The sequence below is a fragment of the Homo sapiens genome, chromosome 12 (assembly GCF_000001405.40).
Source record: "Homo sapiens chromosome 12, GRCh38.p14 Primary Assembly".
Taxonomy (NCBI): Eukaryota; Metazoa; Chordata; class Mammalia; order Primates; family Hominidae; genus Homo; species Homo sapiens.
Genome location: NC_000012.12, coordinates 20,191,535 through 20,218,017, shown reverse-complemented (window position 1 = coordinate 20,218,017; position 26,483 = coordinate 20,191,535). Strand labels below are relative to the sequence as shown.

At 37.4% G+C, this 26,483-nt stretch overlaps 2 long non-coding RNA genes across 2 annotated transcripts, besides 2 other annotated features; both read right to left on the bottom strand.

Moving 5' to 3' along the window:
* Positions 1-2,708: 2,708 nt before the first annotated feature.
* On the bottom strand, positions 2,709-5,577 carry LOC105369687 (uncharacterized). Its single transcript, XR_001749039.1, has 2 exons — positions 4,682-5,577; positions 2,709-3,362 (listed from the first exon to the last, which is right to left on the bottom strand). It is a non-coding gene; the product is annotated as an uncharacterized LOC105369687 (long non-coding RNA).
* Positions 4,377-5,117: an enhancer, noted in NCBI's record as "OCT4-NANOG-H3K27ac hESC enhancer chr12:20365835-20366575 (GRCh37/hg19 assembly coordinates)". NCBI's record gives its function as "activates a minimal SCP1, AML or CMV promoter by ChIP-STARR-seq in primed H9 embryonic stem cells {active_cell/tissue: H9 hESC(primed)}" and the evidence as "EXISTENCE:reporter gene assay evidence [ECO:0000049][PMID:30033119]".
* Positions 5,118-5,859: an enhancer, noted in NCBI's record as "OCT4-NANOG-H3K27ac hESC enhancer chr12:20365093-20365834 (GRCh37/hg19 assembly coordinates)". NCBI's record gives its function as "activates a minimal SCP1, AML or CMV promoter by ChIP-STARR-seq in primed H9 embryonic stem cells {active_cell/tissue: H9 hESC(primed)}" and the evidence as "EXISTENCE:reporter gene assay evidence [ECO:0000049][PMID:30033119]".
* Positions 5,585-25,728, bottom strand: LOC105369686 (uncharacterized). The gene is made up of 3 exons (XR_931417.2): positions 25,549-25,728; positions 7,365-7,423; positions 5,585-6,241 (listed from the first exon to the last, which is right to left on the bottom strand). It is a non-coding gene; the product is annotated as an uncharacterized LOC105369686 (long non-coding RNA).
* Positions 25,729-26,483: the final 755 nt, after the last annotated feature.

The following is a 26,483-nucleotide window of genomic DNA, read 5'->3' as shown; positions in this document are numbered from 1 at the left end:
TCATTACCTGTCTCTGGGACCCCAAACCCATATCGCTCTGTATATCTCCTAACCTGACCTTGTCACCTAATATTCTCCAATTCCTAAAACCATTCGTTAGGCCCACCGGACTAATGGGTCAGTCACAGGGAAAATACTCTATATCTTCAAATGTGTCAATTAAGTTTTCCTTCATCTTTTTACTCTGAGAAATGTCTCCCCACCAGGGACATAGATTTCCACACAGCCGTATAACATGATAGCTGATTTTTCTGCTGTGGTCATACTATTCCCAGGTATGCTGGTAGATGTTTTCACACGGACACTCACTGTCCATTACCCTGTTATCTTCACTAACCCACTGGCTCTTCTCTTATCAAAATATAAAATTGTATATTTATTTTTGCCTTCAATTCCTCTCTTTCTGTTCTCTATTTAACCCAAACTAATTCAGATCTTTGGCCCTGTTTTAGTCCATTCTTGCATTGCTATAAAGAGAGACCTGAGACTGGGTAATTTTTTTTTTTTTTTTAAAGAGGTTTAATTGGCTTATGGTTCTGCAGGCTGTACAAGAAGCACAGCAGCTTCTGCTTCTGGGAGGCCTCAGGAAGCTTCCAATCATGGCAGAAGGCAAAGGGGGAATGAGATGTCTCACATGGTGGGAGCAGGAGCAAGAGCGAGAGGGAAGAGAGGAGCTACACGCTTTTAAACAACCAGATCTCATGAGAACTCATGAGGACAGTACTAAGGGGACATGGTGCTAAACCACAAGAAACTGGCCCCATGAGCCAATCACCTCCCATCAGGCTCCACATCCAACATTGGGGATTACAATTCAACATGAGATTTGGGCGAGGACACAGAGCCAAACCACATCAGGCCCCATCTCTCCAGTGAAACAGCTCTTGCTGAGGTCAGGAATGATCTCCCATTGTTAATTATTTTGATGAGTTCTCTGTTCTCACCTCCATGATTGTTAAGCAACATTTGGCACCATTAATCAACATCCTTAAAACACTTGTAACACTTGGCTTTTAAATATTAAATTCTGCCTTGTCTACTACTTCACTGGATGCTATTTCTCAGTGTTTATCCTCACTCTCGCAATGGATTGATCTGTGGACTTCTCTTATCTATCAAACAGACTTTCATTGGTGAGCTCATTCAGTTTTAGGACTTTAAATAACATCTATAGGCTGATGAGCTGATGACTCTCCAGTTTATATATCAGGCCTAGACATTTCCTCTGAGCTCACACACCCAGCTTCCTATTTTACGTCTCCAATCTGAATTCCTAATCTCTTAAATCTCCTCTTCGACCCCTTCCCATCTCAGTAAATGGCAACTCAAACCTTCCAGTTGCTCCAGCTGAAAACCTCTGTGTCATCCTTGACTAATCTCTTTTCTGCCCCATATCCAGTCCCTTGACAAATCTTGGCAATTCTGCCTTCAACTATATATTCAATATATGACCACTTTTTACCACTTCATTGCTATCATCTCTCACCTGGATCATTGTAATAGCTTTTACTCTTGACCCTGTTCCATTCAAAAAACAGTAAGTAGTGGGAGAAATTCTTATGAAGCACAATTTAAATCATGTCATTCTTTTGCTCAAAGCCCACTAATGATTTCCCATGCTGAGAAAATTCTGAGCCCTTACAACCATGTGTAAGGGCCTATATTATCCCCATCTGACTGCTCTGACTTTGTTGCGTACCATGCTCCCTCTTCCAGCACCACGCTTCTTTCTCTTCTCCAACAATGTAAGCACTCTCCAGCCTTAGGAACTTTGCATGTACTAGTCCATTTCTAAAAATGCTTTTCCCATCATCTCCCCCTGTCCCCAAATATTTACATCTCTCCTCCTTCATATCCTCAGTCAGATGTCATCTTATGTGTGAGGACTCCTACATAACTGTATTTAAAACTGCACCTACTTACATATAGACACACATATATACACACCAGTACTAATTTCCTGCTTGGTTTTCTTCACTGTTTTGACATAATATAAATTTAACTGTTTACTCTCACTTCTTATACTAGAATGTATGGTATATGAGGGAAACATTTTTCTCTGTTTTTTTACTACCATTTTTCTACTATTTAGAACCATGACTAACACACTGTAGGCACTCCAAAAAATTTGTTTATTGACTGAAAGAACAAATTCTTAGGACATAAGGCCATTTTTGGTGTATCCACTGAATAGTGTATATACCACTTATGGAATTTTTGGTGTATAGATGAATTTGGATTATGTGCATATTCAAATTAAAAATTATTTCTCAGACCATATTTTCCCCGTGAAGCTTTTTGAGAGAAGGTATTCTCTCTGTTTTTCATCAGCGGCCTAACAGACAAGCTAAGAAGTTGCAGCTTTACAGTTTCAACTGCAAATCAATGTTGACTATTCATTTTCATCCTCACTAACAAGTTCCCTCTAACTGTGAATGTTATTAAGTTATTCTTTATTCATTTGGCAAACAGTTATTGAATACCTACTATTTGCCAAGGCACTATGTTAGTTGTTGAGGATGTAGGGTTCCTGCTCTCAGGAAACATTTAATTGTATTTTTCTTTACAGTGTACAATAGTACCTCTTACCTACAGTCTTGGTAATGGCATGTAAAATTATGTGGTTATTTGTGGAAATCCCTATACATGTATCATTGACCTTAACTGCTTTGGGTTTATCCAAAAATGAATACTTGAAATAGACAATGTAAATGGCACAGTCTTTCAACACAAAAGACCTGAATTTTATTTCCCATAACGTGATTAACCTTTGTAAGCAAGTCAGTGGGTCTTCATTTACCTCAGTTTCTTTTTCTATAACAAAAAGTTAACAATACCTATTAAACTGAAAAGATTCTTTGAGGATAAAACAATAGTTAATAAAATGCTTTAAGAAGCAATCTACTACTTAAAAACATAATAAACTTATCTTTTCAATGGAGAGGCAGCATTGTGTGATATCATAAAGAACAGACTTTGGAAGGAGACAGGCTTGGTGTCAAATCCCAGCCCTGTCACCTAGCAACAAATGGAAACAGTCCCGTTTAATTTACAAAATTAATGGAATAATTAGAATTAACACATTTAAAAAGCCTAGCATCTCGCACAGGATATGATGCATAGCAGATGTCAGCTCTTATTTACCTTAATATTTTGGCATCTGACCATTAAAATTGTTATTTCTTCCATTTTCAAATATACCTCAGTTTCTTTATCTGTAAAATGGGGAAATTGTATTGCAGTCTTTCAAAAGCCCTCCTGAGTATACTGCATTAACTGGTTGCCATCTCCAAGCAGAAGTCATTATTATCACATCCTTGAGGGCAATGGTTTGACATTATTAGATTTCTGCATGGCCAACTCTGAAGATGGAGACAGAAAAATCACATTCAGGAAAAGCTCTTCAGAGCAGGACTTTGGAGAAAAATATAAATAATGAGGTAATACAAACTCTAAAGTAAACCAGGCAAAGGGCCAAGAATTATCATGCAAAGGGAGAATGGACACAATCAGCTCTCATGTACACACGTGCCTTTCAAATGGCAGGAGAGACATAGAACACGCATCTCTAGTAATTTTTAAAAGTCAAAGCCAAACCAGCCCACTCCCTTCAATTATTGTTAGAGGACATCCTTCCACAGCTCACTGTTGGCCTCAGATCACTAGTTTTGCTGACATCATTCTAGTCACATGGTAGAGATGTTTACACTTTGTAGAAACTTCCATTTTATTCTACATTAATTTAGTGTCAAGGTTATTCTCCTAAGTAAATGAAAGTAGAATAATGAAATGTTCAAGTCATCTTATCACAATTGTGTTGTAAGGACTTTGTGTCTTCGCCGTAAGTCCCCAAAGTGAAGACATTTCCCTCCTCTCATCTCAAGTACTTTTTGGTCTTTTGAAATGAAAAAAGTAAGTTTTATATTATAACAGCTAGAAATTAGCAGATGTTTTGGCACACTCTGAACTTGCGTTCTGACATTATTGCACAACTGCCTCTACACTAGCAGTTTTTTTTAATCTATTTTAGGTGATCCAGCACTGATCCATCCTTCAATAGCCATAGCATTTGATCTATTATTTAATGCTTTAGAAACACAATGCTCTATCACGTGATACTTTATAAACTAACTGACAAACTCAACGGCATTGTCTACTAGAGAATTTTATTTATTTCATAGCACTTCACTTAAAAACCAATTTGTGGGGTTTTAGGTGACATTTTGATAATTCAGCCTATAAAAACCTCACTTCTCTTTTATTTTCTGGCAAAATCTGAACATACAGTGTAACAAAGAGTCATGTTATTCTATATCACAAGCTTAAAATGTAATTCATTCTTGTAGAATTAGAATTTTACTACTGCTCGCAAAGTTACATGAATGCTGTGAAACTGTACATAAACAGGATCAGCATAGATGTTATTTATGTAGATAGATATTTATATTTATATACTTTTAACATTATTTCAAAAACGTGGCCCACCCCTTCTCAAGGTATTAAATATTCAGCAGTTTACTAGCATAAGAATTGGGAGCTTTATATTTATAGTACAAGGCATTTGATATTTGCAATACCGTTCAATAGATAAGTCTGATATTTAAATTTGGTTTTGTTCTATGCCTGGTTATTTTAGAGTTCGTCCATATGCTAGCTAATTTGCTGCCAGTCAGATACTTACTTGCTTTTGTTAATTGATGCAGAGTTCAACACACAGATTTCTTCTCTCCCATCTCTTGTCCTGTCTTTCTCAAGCTCATTAATTTTGTGGCCCAATTGACCTTTGAGCAGATCAAATCTCTCCTTCAGAGTCATGGCTTGCTTTATCTATTTACGTATTTTACACTCATATTGCATTCTTTGGCCCAGACAAAGTTTTCTAAAAAGTGGTCCTCTTGAAACGTTTTCCCACTAAAACAGAAGGGCTGTGGTTTTACACCCACCAGGGAGGAAAGAGCAGCTAGGGACACTCTGCTGGTTCCTGAAAGAAAGTCTGCGGATCTCAGGGTTTCCTTTGTCTCATTGTGATCACACACACATTGCTAATGGCCTGAGGCACTCATACATTTCAGGGAGCTCTCCAGCCTTCTCTTGAACTAATTCCTTCCAGAGCCTCTGTTCAAGTGTGACTCATCACTCTGCAAAGCCACTGCCTCCCAGCACGCCTCCTGCCAAATGTGGAGGGCATGTCTTTCCCACTGGATTCCTGCCATTTCTTTCGTACATTTGACGTAATCCCCTTTCCCATTGTTTTTGTGCATTTGATTGTGCAAAATTGCAGGCAAAAAAGGAAAGCAGAAACTGAAAGCCTGCAAAATGACTGTTCTGAGATGCCTTTAGTAATCTGGGGTATTCTTTGGCCATGAAGATCTCCACTAGTTTGAATAGGGAGGTTTAGTTGAGTTCTGTTTATTTTTGTGTTTGTTTGCTTTTGGTGGGGACAGTGGGGTATTATCAGACTTCACTTGATTTTAGGACAGTAGACAAGACTAGAGGAGACATAAAAATAATAGACATGCTGAAAAGCCAAAATAGATATATAAATAAAAAATAAAAATATTGAACACTTTCAGTCAAATTTACCGTCTGAGCAGACCCTAGACCTTACTAGAGATTTCATGGCAACAGAAATAGTCATCACATTCTGTGTCCGTCTGGATTTCTGCCATTAATTATCCACTCTCTTCTCAGTACTGTCAACCTTTTCCTTTCCACTGGCATCTTTCCCTTTGTGCATAAACATGCTCAAGTCTCTCCCATCTTAGGAATAAATACTTCCTCGATTCTGCCTCCACTCTAGCTACTGAATCTTCTCCTTTGTAATTTTTTAAAAATAGATCAGCTTCTAGAACAAGCAGTCTACATGGACTGTCTTCACTTCCTCATATTTAGTTTCTTTCCCTTATTGATGAAAACTCTTCCAGGTCTACATTATTGCTATTCCAAAGTGAGCTTCTAGGTTGCTCATTCCAATTTAATTAGTCAGTGTACTATTGGATACAAGTGACTGAAGACTCAATGCAAGTTGAGTTAAAGAAAAGCTGTTGTTATTATTGTAGTTATTACTAGTATTTAGCTCATTTACCTAAAAAAAGCTCATTGCTTGTACTGACTTAGGTGCAGCTGAACTAGGACTTGCTCTCCTTTTCCTCACTCTGCCTCCTTCTATTTTGGCTTTACTTCTTGGCTGGTTCATGCTTCATGGTGGTAAAAAGTGATTTTTACACTTACTTCCTCATTGCTGTAAATATATCAGAAAAACACAGCTGTTAGATCACAACTCCCGTATAATTCTCGGGGTTAACTTTGGTGTACTCAGAATGAATTGTGTGTTCACTGCTAAACAAAGCACTCTGGCCAAAGGGCTGCAGCCTCCTATTGACTAGGTCCGTGTTAAGTGTATTCTTTGGAATGAAGCATGGCTTTGAATTTTGGCTCTAACAAAGTTTATTAGTAGTAACAATATAGCTATACTTCCTATGTTATTCATTTTACACCTAGCATCTGTTCTTTATAACAAGCCTGCAGGTTATGAATTAAACATTATGAAGAGGGTAGGAGTTCAAAGAACTTAAATAATTGGCCCAACTCTTAAAATTAATGAAGAAGATCTAAGATTTGAACCCAAGTTTGTCTAGACTCAAAGTTGTGCTCTTCCCACTGGATCATACTGAGATATTATATCCAAAGGAGTCATCACATGCCGGGTGTGGTGGCTCATGCTTGTAATCTCAACACTTTGGGAGGTCAAGGTGTGAGATCACTTGAGGCCAGGAATTTGACAACAGCCTGGGCAACATAGTGAAACCCTGTCTCTTAAAAAAAAAAAAATTAAGTTAGCCAAGTATGGTGGCATGTGCCTGTACCCCTTGCTACTGGGGAGGCTGAGATGATAGGATTGCTTGAGCCCAGGAGGTCGAGGCTGGAGAGAGCTATGATTGCACCACTGAACTCCAGCCTGGGCAACAGAGAGAGATCCACATCTCTTAAAAAAGAGGAAAAGAGTAAAAATAGTCATTACAGAGCTAGCACACATGCTTAACTAATGTTAGTTCCTTTTTTTTTTTTTACTCTGCTCATGCAATTCTGATCAGATCATAGCTCTTAAAAATTTTGTCATGAAGTCCTCTCCAAATCTGGCCCTCACTTAGCTTCAATGGTTTCACCCATCTATCTTCCTCAGGTCGTTCTAAGCCATTTGTTTTTCTTTAAACATGCCAGGTTCCCTAACTTGTCTGAAATTTTGAATATAAAATGTATTTATTCTGTCTGATTTCCTCTCCCCACAGAAAATTACTCATTTTTTTTAAGTCTGACCTCAAGTACTTACTATGTTCTGCATTTCCTCTGCAGCTCATACATACCTTCATTATGGAATTATTACATTGTATTGTAGTAGTTCCTATATCTTCTCCCCACTATGCTGTAAAATAGACAAGTTAAGGCCATGGATCAAGTCATTTTCTCTTCATTTCCCAGGAACATAATGTAGGTACTACATAAATGTATGTTGAATGAATAAATGGATATACAAAGAAACAAATTTCTTTTTACCAAATTGGCCCAAACTCCTTTTCCCAGCACAGACTTTCCCAGCACAAACAACAACAAAGATGACAGGAATAGAGATGGAATGGAACAGGACAGGACAGGACGGGACAGAGAGGACAGGAGAAGAGAGGAGAGGAGAGAAAGGGGAAGGGAAGGGGAGAGAGGGGAGAGGGGAGAGGGGAAGGGGGAAGGAGAGGAGGTGGGAAGGGGGAGGGGAGAGGAGGTGGGAAGGGGGAGGGGAGAGGAGGTGGGAAGTGGGAGGGGAGGGGAAGGGAGAGAAAGAGGAGGGGAAGGGAGAGAAAGAGGAGGGGAAGGGAGAGAAAGAGGAGGGGACAAAGTTTCCTTTGCTAGGAACACTTAGATAAACCTCAGGGAGGAATCTGACCGCCATTTTCCCCCAAAACAAAGCCTGCGCATATGGGGCCTCAGACCATGTGTCCTCACATCTACAGAGAAGTTCCAACTGCTGGATGTTATCAAAATGAATGGTCCCTTCCTGAGGCCAAGCCGGTCCTTCCTATACATCACAATTTGGCCAAGCCTTTGTGCAGAGGGCTATGAAGTATTTTTCCTCCAGGTTCTGAAGATAAAAACAGTCCCAATGTTTAAAGATACACTCTGGAAGAGTATAAGCTGGGGGTGGTGAAGAGAACTGGTTGCCCATTCTGAAAGACAGGGAATAGAGGCTCCCTCATTCCCTTCCTTCTTACAGTGAAAACTCAGGGTGTGATGGAGAAAGAAAGCAAACATCCTCCCTTCACTTTCCACCCCTCATCCCTCAACCGGCCATAGGTACCAATGCAGTATATACCCATGAAGCAAGGAAAACCACCCTCACCTACGCCTCCATTTCTCCCTGCTGTCACAAACTGAGTTCCCTGGGCCTGTTTATGCCATGAAGCATGGCCTCCTTCCATGGGGTGGGTTTCAGCACACACCTGTTATTTTAAGCCTTTGCTTTTGTTTGTGTTGTTGCTTCCACCTGGAACGCTCTTTTCACTTTGCCCATTTTGCAAATATAAGCTCATAATTATCTAAACTACCATCCAAAAGAGACAAAGCAGACTAATATATATAACTAACTTCTTCCTTCTTTTTCCCCATAGGTACATATTTTTATGAAAAAGCCACAACACTTTATTTTTTTTTTTATTTATTCTATCTCTCCCACTGGATGATAAACCTCTTGATCGCAGGGACTATGTCTTATTCATCTCTTGTTCCATGGCACCTAGCCCAGTGCCCAAAAATAAATATTTGGTGATTAGGCTAAAAGGAAGAAGAAGAGAAAAGACAGGGAAACAGAATGAATTAAGTCTACTTTTACTTTTGTTTTAGGCCTCTAGAATATAAATCCCTGGAGAGAAAAATCTCTGAAAAACTATAGAGAAGGGATCTCTTGTCTATATCAAAATTGCTTTTGCCAACAAAAACATTGGTTGCAATATAGTGAAGTTTATATATGGATAGATTTTTCTTCTTCTTCTTTTTTTTTTTTTTTTAAACAGGGTCTTGCTAGAGTACAGTGGTGTGATTATGGCTCACTGCAGCCTCGACCTGCTGGGCTTAAGTGATCCTCCCATCTCAACCTCCCAAGTAGCTGGGACTATAGGTGTGCACCACCACACCTGGATAATTTTATTTATTTTTGTAGACATGAGGTCTCACACTTTTTTGCCCAGGCTGGTCTTGAACTCCTGAGTTCAAGCAATCCACCTGCCTCAGCCTTCCAAATTGCTGGGATTACAGGTATGAACCACCTTGCACAGCTGATTATTTGATCTTGAGTTTTCATTTGCAAGATTTTAGTTATCCCAGAAACAGCATTTTTTCCAACTGGCTTAAAAATATACTGCTAATTGCTGGAGAATGAAATCCAAGACATTTGCATTCTTACTCTGCGAACTAACAAAAATAAATTTGAATAAATGAATTATTTCTGTGATATATCTATTTCTTCCCCCAACTGCTGACTTGATTCTTAGTAAGAAATGAGTAGAAACATCTCAAATATATTTTCTGTCTTAAAATAGGTAGTATTTATTTTTATTATTTATTCAATTTATATTTTGTTCTGGCATCTAGAAGGGGCTCATTAAATAAGCCTGTTTTTATTTCTTATTTTCTTTCTTCCTTCATTTTCTTTAAAACTCCTCCAACAAATAGTTTAACAAATATTCTACATTCTGCCCATGAAGTATTTTTTTTAATTATTTTTTTGAGACAAGGTATAGCTCTGTCACCCAGGCTGGAGTGCAGTGGCACAGTCTTGGCTCCCTGCAACCTCTGCCTCCTGGGCTCCAGACATCCTCCCATCTCAGCCTCCAGAGTAGCTGAGACTACAGGCGCTTGCCGTCATGCCTAGCTGGTTTTGGATTTTAAGTAGAGACAGGGTCTCGCCATGTTACCCAGGCTGGACTTGAACTCCTGGGCTCAAAGTGATCCACCTGCCTCGGCCTCCCAAAGTGTAGGGATTACAGACGTGAGGCACCACCTTGGTCCCAGCTCTAAATATCTTTTAATGCCTTGCTATCAGCATAACTTTGGCTATTCTATCCTACTGACATTATACCATCTAACTAATCAAAAACTTATTATTGAAATATCATTATTGTAGATTTAGAAAATTCTTGCTAAGACCCTCAAGTCAGCCAATGCTGTAACTTTCTTCTTCCTTTTCCTTTGCTTGTTTGACACTTGAATTTTTTTCTTTTTTTTTTAGAAAGCCTTTTATCTTTTAGCATCTGTAAATATTGCTTTCCCGGTTGATAAAATACTGTCTAAGATTGTTTGTTGGGGGGATGCCTGTAAGGGCCACCTCTATTTCTCCTGGCCTGAAGAATTTAATTTGACCATTGATGCTAAGCCAAGAGTCACAAGAACTAGAGAGATGAAGGTTTGAAGAATCAAGTCAATCTTGTGGGTAGTTTCACAAGAAAGTGGAGCCTCCTGCTCAGTTACTGAACCCCAGAGCATCAAAATTTTCCAAAGACTTTTGGGGGCTCAGAACCATTTTGCCCCCCAAACCCTTATCCTCTCTTTTAGTCTGCTTTGTCTCTTTTGGATGAGATATCACAAAACAATATAAACTCATCGTGTCTTATTTGAAATGTGGATTTAACACATATTCAGTAAATCGAATGATAGTTTATTATTTTTAAAAATGTACTCTTTTAAAGTAACTTTAGTTTTTTAAGTTTCTATATTTTTGAAAGGATATTCTCTGAGATAAAGCATATATATTACATGTGTTTAAACACACACATATACATATACATAACATATTATTTCTGGACCTATAGGCTGTCATCAAAACACATATTTTAAACTATGTTTTCTAAATTAATTTTCAAAATGATCAACCAAGAGATATGTGATATCTATTTTACGTATGAGATAAGTAACTCTACCTACCCGTATCTAGAGAGAGAGAGAGAGAGAGATACAAATGTCTATGTTGCCAAAATGGCCTTAAGATAGTTTTCAAATATAACACCCCAAATATCTCAAATATTACAGTTATTATAAAAGTTGTTGAGTATACATGAAAGATTGAAAATAGAAAATTAAAAATTCTCATGTCCGTTAAAGCTGCTAATACAGATTCGATTTGATTTTCTAAATTTCAAAAGTCATGTTTCTTATTTTCTGGTTTTCTCTCTACTGAAACTTTAGAGAAATATCATGAAATGTTTTGTTAAACAAATCATTTGGCATTCTGTAAACTGAAAAACCCAGTTAAACTGAATTTAAACATTTTGAAACCTTATTTATGTCAAACTGATTTACCACTGAGGCTTTATGTGTTCTTATCTCTCAGATCTTCTCCAGCAAGGCAAGTCCTTTGATTTAAGCCTGAGAGTTGTAAACGTAGTCATAAGATTTCTTTTAAAAGTGCTTCCAAAACATTGTTAATCTTAAAATATACTCTTCACGTAGTGTGGCTTCCATATTCAAATGCTAACCAAAGAGACTGCTTTATGCTAGAAGCTCTTGGCTTGAAACTCTACTTAGTAACTTGGATTACAAATAAGTAATTGTGTGTTCAATTATACACACTTAGAGAAAAGGTAGAGGCAGCAATAATTATCTACATGAAATTAGACCTAAATTTTACAGGGAAACACTGCTAGTTTCCTGTGAAAATCCACTTCTAAAACAGATATAACAACAGCATGCAAACCCATACACTTAAATGAATATCCACTGAAATGAATATCCACTGACAGAACACGTTCCCAATTTAGTTTTAAAGGAATCATGGGAAACACTTTATAGGTTCATGCATGAAGGCAATAGATAGGGCAGTTTATTATTTTGAAGCAGGTAGCACATAACCTGAAACTGCAGTTTTCATGATTTCAGAAGAGACAAAGTATACCCTATGTGTAGCTCAGGGTGACTTGGAATGAAGCCAAAATACACAGCACTAGAGTTCTCAGGGTTAAATCATCATATACTATCAATCTGAACAACAGTGATTTAAGTCATTCGCCCTGTAAGCAACTTAGAAAGAAACTCAAGTAAAGCTGGTTAGAACAAGTCCAACATTGTTTTTAGGAAAGTAAAAATGTGGGAATTTAGTATTTTAGAAAAACTCTGAAGTATACATCTAAACACATTCAGTGTCTAATCTTTAATAATAAATAATAATAAAGTCAGATCTTTAATAATGGCTCATTTAGGTGCTTTAGAAGGTTTTCTGCCACATATTTAAAATACTTATTTCTAACCTAGCAAAAAGCAACATAACAAACAATTGAAGTTAGTCAACCCTTAACTCCAAAATAAGCTGAATGCTAAAAACATAATTTAGTATTTTTAAAATACTTTATACATTTGAATTTATATTTTAAAAAAACTCAGTCTTGTTTAGAAAGTTGAAGAAGTCTTGGCTTAATGACTATTTTTTTAAGTCAGTTAATAGGGAAGCAACTGGAACACACTACAAACATCTGGTGGTAATCAAATAAATGTACCTTTTTAAAATACTTGTACCCATAGCTCTGAGGGATTTTGTTGTTCATCAGCGGAAACCCTTTTTTAACAACTACATTTGATTCCCCACAATCATTCATGCTCGCAAACATCCAAACCAAATGTGAATAAATATTTTCATCCTGTATTAGCAATATTATAAAGGCCTCGGCGTGATAATGAAGTGAGAAACATTTACTGGCATACCAGAGTGGTGTAAAAATAGTAGTAACCTTTGACAACAAAAAGCTTAGTCAATTCCCAGTGACAGTTGCTTTCTGCATCAAAGATAAAATCAACATTACCTTAGAAATCATAAGATGCTACAACCTAAAATGGTATTTACCTTGAAACGTATAAAACAGAAAGCACTTTTAGTGAGAAGAATTTAATCATTTTTGCATGCATCATGGCATAATATTTGAAACTTCAGGCATATTGCTAAAACTGCACCTCTGAAGGAGTTACATGTTTTGTTGAAATGTACGGTATTTAATTAGGTTAAATTAATTAACTATTAGGTAGTACCAATTACCATTTATCTTAATTCTTTGGAAAAAATAAACATTGTAATAAAACAATTAGAGGGATGATTACACAAATTCATATCAGTCCCTTCAAAACTGACTACTTGTTCATAAGATCATAACCCTGGGCTTTGCCCTTTGATAAGTAGGATGGCAATTATCCTAAGATTTTTGTTTGATAACCTCTAAGAATCAGTAAGAAGAAAGTTTTTTCCTTATGCTAACTGAACTGCAAAGCAGATAAGAAATGCACTTCATTGTTACATTGTTTAAAACCTTAATTCATCATCCCTAAAAATGGGAAAAAATTCAAAGTTAATTTACTGGAACACAATCAAGTGTCCTATAATGCTAAGAAATAGGTATTATACTTCTACACTTGGCTTTTTTGATGACTAGCTGTGAATCTGAAAAACTTGTTAAGCCATTTAACTGCCAAATCTTTAACTTCACAAACTACATGATGTAAAAATAGATGAGAATTATATATGTAGTGTGTAAAAATTCTCATAAAAAATGAACTGTGTAAAATGCTGTAAAAATCAAGTTTAAGAAAATGGTTATTTTAATGGAAAAATATATATTGACAGAAATCCTTTTAAAATAATAGAAAGATATCCCGAAAGGCAAAGTGTATATTTTGGCCAAATAAAATACAATTTCAGAGATATATACACATTCAGAAAAAGGTTTAAAGTTTTAATATTGGTATCACAACCGTATTTTCTTTCATGGTACTGTATTTGGTATAAAGAATATAAAGGAATAAATGTCAGTACTCTGAAAACTACAAGTGAATTTAGAGAGATATACCTAGTTAATAGGTCAGAAGGCTTGATAATATTAAGACATCAGTTTTTCTCAAATTGATCTATAATTCCACACAACCATATAAAATTCTCAACAGGGGTTTCCTTTTGCTTTTATTTTGTGAAAGGATTTGACAAACATTATAAGATTCTCTTGAAGAATATAAGGGATATAGAATAGACAAAACCTTGAAAAAGAACAAAATTGGAGGGTTAATAACACCTGATTTCAAAACTTATTATAAAGTTGTGGTAATCTAAGTCAGTGTGGCATTGGCATGAAGATAGACATATCAATGGAACAGAATAGAGCATCCAGAAATAGACCCACACAGAAATATTTTTTTTTCACAAAAATGCAAAGGCAATTCAATACTGAAAGGTCAGGCTTTTCAAGTGGTGTTCAAGCAATTGGAAATCCATAGGCAAGAAAATGAACTTAGATCCCTACCTAGTAGCACATATGAAAGCTAACATACAATGGATCATCAATCTAAATGTAAAACCTAAAACTATAAAATTTCTAGAAGAAAACATAGAAGAAAATCTTCATGATCTTGGGTTGTCAAAGATTTCTTAGAACACCAAAAGCATGATCCGCATAAAAAATTAATGAATTGGGCTTAAATGAAATTAAAAATTTCATTTTTTGCCCCAAATGGCAGATTAGAGGCATTGCTAGCATGCCTCTCTCATTTGGAAGAACAGAATAGCATGTAAATATTCACACTGTGAACCTTTTTTCAAGAAGCAATGCAGGAACTAAACAGGAAAGCTGAAGGAATCCACAGACTCTTTGAAGGAAACAGCAGGCTGCAGTCTATACCACAGTCTACACTGTGAGTCAGGTAAAGGGCTACAAGTCCCCAGAGTATGAGTGGGAAGAGATTTTCTCTAGGATACATACTCCTACCAGGGAGCCTGAAAGTCCAGGCCACAGGGAGAAGGCCTTACCCTTACTCAGTGCAGGAACTGACTTGGAGAGGGTTATGGAATATAAAAGTAGGAGCAGCTGTGGGAAAACTGTTGCATGCATTCCCAGTCTCCAGCATGAACCAAGGGAAGCCATTCCATATTGTTTCTCACAGGGAACCCTGTGGAGGTCAACCAAATAGTTCAGGCAGTGGTTGCAGGTTGAAAGAAGCCCACAGTTGGGTTTCGTGATATAATCTCTGGTGGGCACAAACTCCCTTGGCCAGGGCCAGTGGGAGGCAAGTGAAAAGTGGATTGCAGCTATGAGTGCAGCAGCTGGGTGCCCAGCTTTGTGGATGGACTGGGAGTGACGTGGCTTGAAAGCCAGGTTGTTCTCTCCATGGGAAAAGCTTATGACCTGGAGCATTTATAAGTTTTGAGTGCAGGCTGTTTGGAAAGTAGCTCAGTGCTGCCAGTGGAACACTGCAGGAGTGGATCTGCCTCACCCAATGCATGGGGTCTGTGTGGGGCTTATTGATACCTGCTATTCCCCACTCCCTGCACAAACCCTTCTGTGCCACAGAGGCAGCAACAATCCCCTCTGGAACATTTGACCTGAAAACCAACTCCATCCTCCAACACCCAGAGGGGTTGTACTTGCCCTGCATGTGGAGACTCAGAGTGCAAACTCACCGGACCCAGCCCCCACCTGGCTTTACCCTGCCACCTGCCTTTGTGTCCCAGGAGGATATAAACTTCTGGGAGCTATATGGCCCCACCCATTGCCTGAGAAACCAGAGTACCCTTCATCCCAGACAACACAAGGCAAGCAAAAATCCCACTGCTACTATTACAGCTGTTAGTCTTTTGCAAGCACCATCTCCTGGTTGAAGGCTAACAAAAGTCCGTTACAGCATCTCCTGGTAGAATAACACTGTGCTCAAGAAGGAGAAGACTATGATGTAACCTCAATATCACCACTGCTTGCACCACTCAGGCTAACCAGGAGGTCCTGAGTCTGTCCACATGACCAGTTCTTTACCACTATAACCAGTGTTCGAGAAAGCCAAAACACTAAGGCTGTATATAACCAAGGGATCTCACAGAGTCTGTGTCATTCTCCTGCCACCTTCATTAGAGCTGGTGCTGTTACCTATGCTGGGAGACTTAAGGACAGGTCACATCACTGAATCCCTTGAAGACATTCCCCAGCACCAGCCTGGAGTGTGGCAATTTCATTGGGTGGCTAGACCCAGAGGAGCAACAACACTCACAGTAGTCTGGCTCACAGGGATTCCCACTACTAGGGCAAGGGGGAGTGCACAACATCAAGGCAACACCCCATGGGACAAAAGAATTTGGATGGCAGGCCTTAAGCAATGGATCTTTCTGCTGGCAGGAAGTTTCTTTCAGCAGAGGCACAGTTGCAGTGCTGGACTCAGCAGGGAAACTGCAGCTCTAACCCAACAGTCAGACAGTCCTTGTGTGTGTGAAGGGTCTTGGAGAAGAGGATATCTTTCCCCCAACGTACAACACCGCAGGCATAGCTGGGGATTCTCCCATGGGAGCTTGGCATGAGTGCAACTATAGGCAGCCTTTCCGGAACATGTCGGGATGACTGTATCCCTGCAGAAGGAGCATGCTCCAGGTTCAGGCTTGCATGAGAGACGGAGTCCCAGTTCCTCTCTACTTGAAACATCAACATTCCTACAGGTGAAAAGAGGTGCCTCTCTGATCCGAATAGCCAGAGCACTGGGACAGGAGTGTGTCTGAGAGATAGATAGCTTTCCTACTGACCTGGTAGGGGAGCTGAGGTGGTTCCAACTCTTCACCCTGAGAAGAGCTTGGTGTGACTCACTGAAAGCTCCTCCAGCTACCTCTGTCCAGGCTGGGACCTCTGCTCACCCTTGAATATTGCATTTACACACCTGCTTTAGCCACATCCAGTTCCTATCCAGGGATACCTCCCCTGCTAGTCTGAAGCTTGAACCATCAAACCAGTAAATAAAATAATGGGGAATAATAAATAAATAAGTGCACACCACGGGTTATGAGATAAGCTTCAAGAGACCTCTCCCCTTCCAACCTCATAGGAGACAGTGAACTTGCCCACACACTGAGCACATTGCTACTACAAGCAGCACATGAGAAAGCCATTATACAAAGACTCTCTATAACCAAGGAACTCGTACAGAGTCTTCAGCCATGAATGCACCAAGAATCAAATTAGCCTATATTTAACTATAAGCATTAAATTCTCATCCTTAAGTGGAAAAATAAATTAAAAACAACACAGTCAAATAAAACATAAATTCAAGAATAATTAGCAGAAATAGTCTACCCAAATGAGAGGGAACCAGAAAAGTATCTCTGGTAATATGACAAAACAGGGTTCTGTAACACCCCAAAAAGATCACACTAGCTCCTAGCTCTCCAACAATGGATCCAAACCAAGATGAAATCTTTGAAATAACACTAAAAATACAAAATAACACTAAAAACACTAAAAATTACAGGCATGGTGGCACACTCCTGTAATCCCAGCTACTTGGGAGGCTGAGGCAGGAAAATCTCTTGAACTTGGGAGGCAGAGGTTGCAGTGAGCCGAGATCACACCACTGCACTCTAGCCTGGGTGACAGAGCAAGACTCCATCGCAGAAAAAAAAAAAAAAAAGATAAAGCATTCAGAAGGTTGATTATTAAGCTACTCAAGGAGATACCAGAGAAAGGTGAAAAACAACAGAAAGAAATTTGAAAATCAGTTCAGGGTATGAATAAAAAGTTTTCTAGAGATAGAGATATCATAAAGAAAAACCAGTCAGAACTTCTGAAAATAAAAGACACACTAGGGAATTATAAAAAGAAGTAGAAAGTTTTAATAATAGACTAGAACAAGTAGAAGAAAGAATTTCAGAGTTTGAAGACAAAGCATTTGAATTAACCCAATCAGGCAAAAATAAAAAACAATCAAAAGAAATGAACAAAATCTCCAATAAATATGGGATATGTAAAACAGCCAAACTTAAGAATAACTGGTGTTCCTGAGGAAGAAGAGAAAACTTATTTGAGGGAATAATTGAGAAAAACTTCCCAGGCCTCGCTAGAGATTTGACTATCCAAGTCTAAGCAGCTCAAAGAACTCATGAAAAATTCATTGCAAAAAGATAATCACTGAAGCACATAGTCATCAGGCTATCTAAAGTCAACATAAAAAGCAGTAAGACAAAAGCATCATGTAACCTATAAAGGAAAACCTATTAGACTAACAGCAGACTTCTCAACAGAAACCTTACAAAGCAAAAAGGATTGGGTTCTTATCTTCAGCATCTTTAAACAGAATAACTGTCAGCTGAGAATTTTGTATTTAGAAAAACTACGTTTCACAAATGAGGGCGCTATAAAGTTATTTTCAGACAAATAAATGCTGAGGAAATTAATCACACCCAAACCAGCATTACAAGAAATGCTAAGAGGAATTCTAAACCTTGAAACAAAACCTTGATATGCATCAAAATAGGACCCCTTGAAAGCTTAACATGTACAGGGTCTATAAAAGAGTAACACAAGAAAAAGTACAAGCTATCTAGATAACAATTAACATGACAAAGAGAATAGTACCTCACATCTCAATATTAATGTGGAATGAAAATGGCCTAAGTGCTCTGCTTAAAAGATGCAGAATGGTAGAATGGATTAAAAATAAAATCACAAACCAAATATCTACTGTCTTTGAGACTCAACTAATATGGAAGGATTCATATAAACTCAAGGTAAGGCTGGGTGCGGTGGCTCACGCCTTAATCCCAGCACTTTCGGAGGCCGAGGTGGGCGGATCACGAGGTCAGGATATCGAGACCATCCTGACTAACACGGTGAAACCCTGTCTCTACTAAAAATACAAAACCAAGGCTGGGTGTGGTGGCTCATGCCTGTAATCCCAGCCCTTTGGGAGGCCGCGGGTGGATCACCTGAGGTCGGGAGTTCGAGACCAGCCTGACCAACATGGAGAAACTCCGTCTTTACTAAAAATGCAAAATTAGCTGGGCATGGTGGCGCATGACTGTAATTCCAGCTACTTGGGAGGCTGAGGCAGGAGAACCGTTTGAACCCCAGAGGCAGAGGTTGCAGTGAGCCAAGATCATGCCATTGCACTCCAGCCTGGGCAACAAGAGCGAAACTCTGTCTCAAAAAAAAAAAAAAAATACAAAAACAAAATTAGCTGGGCATGGTGGCAGATGCCTGTAGTCCCAGCTACTCGGGAGGCTGAGGATGGAGAATGGCATGAAGCCGGGAGGCGGAGCTTGCAGTGAGCCGACATTGCACCACTGCATTCTAGCCTGGGTGACAGAGCAAGACTATGTCTCAAAAAAAAAAAAAAAAATCAAGGTAAAGGGTGGAAAAAATATTCCACACAAATGGAAACCAAAAGCAAGCAGGAGTAGCTATTCTTAGACAAAACAACTTCAAAACAACAACAGTGAAAAAAGACAAATGTCATTATATAATGACATAAGGATCAATCCAACAAGAAGATACTACAATCCTAAATTTATATACACCTAACACTGCAGCTCATAGATTCATAAAACTATTATTATTAGATCTAATAAATGAGATAGCAATACAATCATAGTGAGAGACTTCTATACACCACTGACAGCACTAGACAGATCATTGAGACAGAAAGTCAACAAACAGTGGATTTAAATGACACTCTAGAACAAATGGACTTAACAAATATTTACAGAATATTCTAACCAAGAACTACAGAATAGACACTTTTCTCATCAGCACATGGAACATTCTCTAAGATACACCAAATGACAGGCCACAAAACAAGTCTCAATAAATTTTAAAAATCAAAATCACATCAAGTATCTTCTCAGACCATAGTGGAATAAAACTAGAAATCAACTCCAAAAGGAACCCTCAAAACTATACAAATATATGGAAATTAAATAATCTGATCCTGAATGATTTCTGGGTTAACAATGAAATCAAGATGGAAATATAAAAATTCTTTGAATTTAGTGATAACACAATGATATTCAAAACTTCTCTGATACCGCAAAAGCAGCACTGAGAGGAAAGTTTATGTCATAAAATGCCTACATCAAAAAGTCTGAAAGAGCACAAATTGACCACTTAAGGTCATACCTCAAGGAACTAGAGAAACAAGAACAAACTAAACCCAAAGCTAGCAGAAGAATAGAAATAACAAAGATCAGAGCAGAACTAAATGAAATTCAAACAAACAATACAAAAGATCAATGCAACATAAAGCTGGCTCTTTGAAAAGATAAACAAAATTGATAGACCATTAGCTAGATTAACCAAGAAAAGGAGAGAAGATCCAAGTAAGCTCAATTAGAAATGAAACTGGAGACATTACAATTGACACCACAGAAATACAAAAGATCATTTTTGTATTTCTACTATGAACATCTTTATGCACACAAACTAGAAAGCCTAGAGGAAATAGATAAATTCTTGGAAACATACAACCTTCCTAGATTAAATCAGGAAAAAAATAGAAACCCTGAACAGACCAAAAACAAGCAGCAAGATTGAATCAGTCATTTAAAAATTGCCAACAACAACAAATGCCCAAGACCAGATGGATTCACAGCTGAATTCTACCAGACATTGAAAGAAGAATTGGTACCATTCCCACAGAAACTATTCCAAAAGACTGAGAAAGACAGAATCCTCCCTAAATCATTCTATCAGGCCAGTATTCTCCTGATACCAAAATCAGGAAAGGACACAACAAGAAAAGAAAATTACAAATAAATATCCCTGATGAACATAGATGCAGAAATACTCAACAAAATACTAGCTAACTGAATCCTACACCACATCAAAAAGATTATGCATCATGGTCAAGTGGACTTCACCCCAGGAATGATGGGATGATTTAACATACACAAGTCAATAAATGACATGCATCACATAAAAAGAATTAAAATACATTAAATTAAAAATTAAAAAATTAAAATTAAAATTAAAAAAACCATTATGATCATTTCAATAGATGCAGTTCAAATAGATGCAGAAAAATGTTTCAACAAAATTCAGCATCCCTTTATGATAAAAACTCCCAACAAACTAGGCATAGAACTTACCTCAAAATAATGAAAGCCATATATGACAAACCCACAACCAACATCATACTGAATGGGGAAAACTTGAAACCGTTCTCCCTGAGAACATTAACAAAACAAGGATTCCCACTTACACCACTCCTTTTCAGCATAGTTTTGGAAGTCCTAGCCAGAGCAATTAGGCAACATCCTAATTGCATCCAAATTGGAAAAGAGGAAGTCAAACTATTGCTGTTTGCAGATGATATAATCGTATACCTAGAAAATCCTAAAGGCTCCTCCAAAAGACTCCTAGATTTGAAAAACAAATTCAGTAAAGTCTTAGGTTACAAAATCAATTACACACATCGGTAGTACTGCTATACACCGACATTGACCAAGCTGAGAATCAAATAAAAAACTCAATCCCTTTTATAACAGCTTCAAAAGAAAAAAAAAAATACCTAGGAATAGACTTAACCAAGGAGGTGAAAGATCTCTACAAGGAGAACTACAAAACACTGCTGAAAGAAATCATAGATGACACAAACAAATGGAAACACAACCATGCTTATGGATTGGAAGAATCAATACTGTGACAGCGACCATACTGCCCAAAACAATCTACAGATTCAATGCAATTCCCCTTAAAATGCCAACATTATTTTCACAGAATTAGAGAAAACAATCCTAAAATTCATATGGAGCCAAAAAAGAGCCCAAATAGCCAAAGCAATCAGAAGCAAAAGGAACAAATCTGGAGGCATCACATTACTCAACTTCAAATTATACTGTGAGGCTATAGTTACCAAAACAGCATGGTACTGCTAAAAATAAGTAGGCATATAAACCATTGGAACAGAATAGAGAACCCAGAAATAAAGTCAAATATGTACAGCCAACTGATCTTCAACAAAGCCTATGAAACATAAATTGATGAATGAATACCCTATTTAATAAATGGTGCTGGGAAAACTGGCAAGCCACATATAGAAAAATGAAACTTGATCCCTGTCTCCTTATACAAAAATAAACTCAAATGGATCAAATACTTAAATATAAGACCTAAAATCATAAGAATTCTAGAAGACAACGTTGGAAAAACTCTTCCAGGCATCTGCCTAGGAAAAGAATTCATGAATAAGACCTCAAAAGCAAATGCAACAAAAATAAAAATAAATAGGACCTAATTAAACTAAAAGCTTCTGCACAGCAAAAGAAATAAGAATCAGAGTAAACAGAAAACCCACCAGAATGGGAGAAAATAATTTCAAACTCTGCATCTGACAAAGGACTAGTATCCAGAATCTACAAGGAACTCAAACAAATAATCAAGCAAAAAAAAAATTCAAAAAGTGGGCAAAGGATATGAATAGACATTTCTCAAAAGAAGATATACCAATGGCCAATACGCTTATGAAAAAAATGCTCAACATCACTAAGTATCAGGGAAAGGCAACTTACAACCACAAAGAGATACCACCTTACTCCTGCAAGAATGGCCATTATAAAAAGTCAAAAAAACCAGAGATGTTGGTGTGGATATGGGGAAAAACGAATGCCTATACACTGCTGCTGGGAATGTAAATGTGTACAGCCTCTATGAAAAACAGTATAGAGATTCCTTAAAGAACTAAAAGTAGATCTACCATTCAATACAGCAATCCCACCACTGGGTATCAACCCAAAGGAAAAGAAGTCATTATATGAAAAAGATACTTTCACACCTATGTTTATAGCAGCACAATTCACATTTGCAAAGATGTGGAACCAACCTAAGTGCCCATTGACTAATGAGTGGATAAAGAAAAATGTGGTATATATACATCATAGACTACTACTCAGCCATAAAAAAAGAATGAAATAATGTATTTTGCAGCCACTTGGATGGAGCTAGAGGCCATTATTCTAAGTGAAGTAACACCGGAGTGGAAAACCAAAAACTATGTTCTTGCTCATAAGTTGGAGGTAAGCAGTGAGTATGAAAAGGCATACGGAGTGAGATAATGAACTTTAGGGACTCAGAGAGAGGTGGTAGAAAGGGGGCCAGGGATAAAAAGCTACATATTACGTACAATGTACACTGCTTGCATAATAGGTACACTAAAATCTCAGAATTCACCACTCTATAGTTCAGATATTTAACAAAAAACCACTTTACCCCAAAAACTATTGAAATAAATTTTTTTCAAAAAATTAAGAATTTCTGCTCTTCAAAAAACACTTTTAGGATAATTCAGGAAGAGCCAAACTGGGAGTACAAATACATATTTGCAAAGTACATATCCTGTAAAGAACTTATATCCAGAATCTATAAAAGAAAACTCTCAAAACAGAATTAAAAGGGAATAACCTGATGAAAACAAAACAAACAAACAAAAGAGCCAAAGATTTGAACATATACTTTACCAAAGAAGAAATAATAAATGGCATGGTAGGCTGAAAAATGGCTTCATAAAATTTATCCACATCTTTATCTCTGGAACCTGTGAAAGCTACCTTATTTGGCAAAATAAAAATTTGCAGGTGTGATTAAAGAATTTGAGATTGGGAGATTATCCTGGATTAACCAAAAACGCTCTAAATGCAATCACATGTTCTTTATAAGAGGCAGACACAGGATGTTTTGACTCCAAGAAGAGAGGAAGGCCACGAGAGGAAAGCAGAGTCAGAGAGAATTGGTGCTTCGCCACTGGCCTTGACAATGGAGGGAGAGGCCATAAACCAAGGAATACAAGGAATGTTGCGCTGAATGCTGAGAAGGGCAAGGAAGTGGATTCTCCCCTACAGCCTCTGGAGGGAGCACAGTCCTGCCAGCACTTTGGTTTTGACTCTGGCAAACTGATTTTAGGCAGCTAGGCTCCAGAACTGTGAGAGAATAACTTTCTGTTTTAAAGCCACCGAATTTGTGATAGTTTATGACACCAGTCAAAGGAAACTAACACAGATGGTGAAAAGGCACATGAAAACACACTCAACATCATTAGTCATGAGGAAAACACAAATTAAAACCACAATGAGATACCACTATCCTCCTGTTAGAACGGCGAATATTGTGGTAGTTGGTGGATGGGTGGAGGACGTTAATGAATAAACCAACAAATAATGAATAAATCAATTGTTTAGAAAACATGTACTGTATGATCCAGCCATCCAAATCCTAGATATTTTATTCAAGAGAAAAGAAAGTCAACTTCCAACAGACTTACATATGAAGTTCAGAGCAGCCTTATTTGTAATAGCCAAAGACTGGAAACAGCTCAAATGTCCATAAAGAGGTAAAAGGATGAACAAACTGTGGTATATCTACACAATAAAATAACACTTAGCAATAAGAAGAAATGAACTAATGAAATATGAAAAACATGAATAAATCTCAAAATAATTATACTTAGTGAAGGAAGCATGAGTGAATCTTGAAAAAATAATACATAAAAAGCATGGGTGAATTGTAAAATAATTATGCTTAGTGAAAGAAGCCAGACCAAAAAAAAAAGGAATATATAACATATGGTTTTATTTATATAAAACTATAGAAAATGAAAACTATTCAACAGTGGCAGAAGACAGATAAGTGGTTGCCTGGGGAGGGGGACTGGGAAAGACAAGAGTTGCACCAGGGAACTAGGGACACCAGGGAACTCTGGGGGATAATTTGTGGTCCCACAGGTGCACATATATGTCAAAACTTACCCAGTTGCACCCTTGCGCACTTGCTTGTATATAGAACATACTATAATGAAGCTTATAATCGAAAGTACATTTTTGATTATCTACTTTCCCTCTAGGAGCGCGATCTAAGTTCCAAATTCATAGAACATTAATCTTGAGGGCATTTATTTTCACAGAGCATATAAACCCTCCCAAAGCCTTTGGATGCCTATGCTTGTTTGCTCATTTGATGTGAGGTTAAGTTGGCAATATTGTGTATTATATCTTAGTGAACTCTTCTCCCACTATGAAATATTATACTATGAAATAATATCCTGCATAAAACACCTGTTGATTAATACATGATATTTAGTTTGTCTATTCCATGAACACACTTCAGGGAGAAAAAAATGCCTCAGTTCAATAGAAAAAGAAGATATGAGTTATACTCTCTACAAGGTATGTAGCATATGAGTAACCGGTAGAACTACAGTAAAGAAAGAAAGGCCTAAGGAAAAAATTCATATAAAATGTAATTATGTAAAATACTTGAACATATAAAAATAAGTAACCTAGTTTCTAGTCCACTCTAAATTCTGTTATATCTATTCTATCTTTATTTTTTAAGTTATTTATAAAAAGCATGTATAGAGCACCAACATGTTTAAAAACAGTGTTTTGCTTCTTAGCTCTCAAAGAGAAATAAGAAAGTCCCTGACCTAAAGAAGCTGACAGGTTAGGAGGTGAGACTGACAAGAAAAAAGACTAGACTGTGAACAAATGCTATGAGAGCTAGAAAGACTTGCTGAAGGTTAAGAATCATAGAATGATAGTAAAAATGGAAGTCATAATTAAATCTCACTTCTTGTTTTAATTTGATGAAAACAGAATTTTCTTGCATGTCATTAAAAGTAATGGCAAAACCACAATTACTTTTGCACCAACCTATTTTACAGTAATAAATAAATAAAAGAATCTCTATTTCCTCTTCCAATCTTCCAGTTTTATGTGTAGGAAGTATTTCCTTCACTACTCACCACTGTAGGTAGAGCCTGGATGCCTGATTTATGTGACCAGGTCATGGCTGCCCATTGTTCTGTCATAAAAAACTTCTGGACTTCTAAACAAATTCACATAGCTTAAAGACACTCTTTCATAAGCAATACCAAGCATGTACTTCACACACTTAAACCATTTGTGCAGACCCACTTTTTAAACAGCAAACTTAATATAACATTAAAACAAGAGAAAACAAAAGCATTGTCATAATTACTTAAACATTTTGCATTTCCCTTGTCAAAATATTTTACCAAACACAATTCTAACCATAACTTCGAAACAATTTGTTTATATTTATGAACCTACTAATGCATTTCAAAACTCATTACAAAGTTTCCACCAAGGACATAATCATCCTCACAGGTACTTGTCTGCATGGACTATGTAAAATGGTGGATGCCAAACCTGAGCTGAGCTAATATGTTCCTTGCCAGAAAATTCTAACCAGCCCATAGACAGAATTTGAAATTAGTTTCAATCTGAGAGTTAAAGCCTTAAACTAAAAGCCGTCAATAGCCATGTTTCCCACCCTGACAATAAGAATAGTGAGAAAATGAGGCTGGTACGTCCAGGGAGGAAGGGCCTTAGGGTTTCCTTCCAGTTTCCCTTGTTCTTGAGTCCTTGCTGCCTTGATGGAAGTATCAAAGCAAGGTTGTCAAACCTTTCTTAGATTCTATGAGCTTGAACTGTTTGTTTCAGCTAGTATGCGTTGCAATTTCTAAAATTTGAGTTGCAACTTTTAATATAAAGAATGCATTAACAGCCATTCTTTAAGATATTAAAATATATAATATAGCTACAGTAATTAAAGCAGTATAATTATGAGGGTAGAATATAGAGATAAATTAATATGAAAGGATTCAAAGACCACAATCATACCGAGTATATATCAATGAGAAAAAAATTAATTATT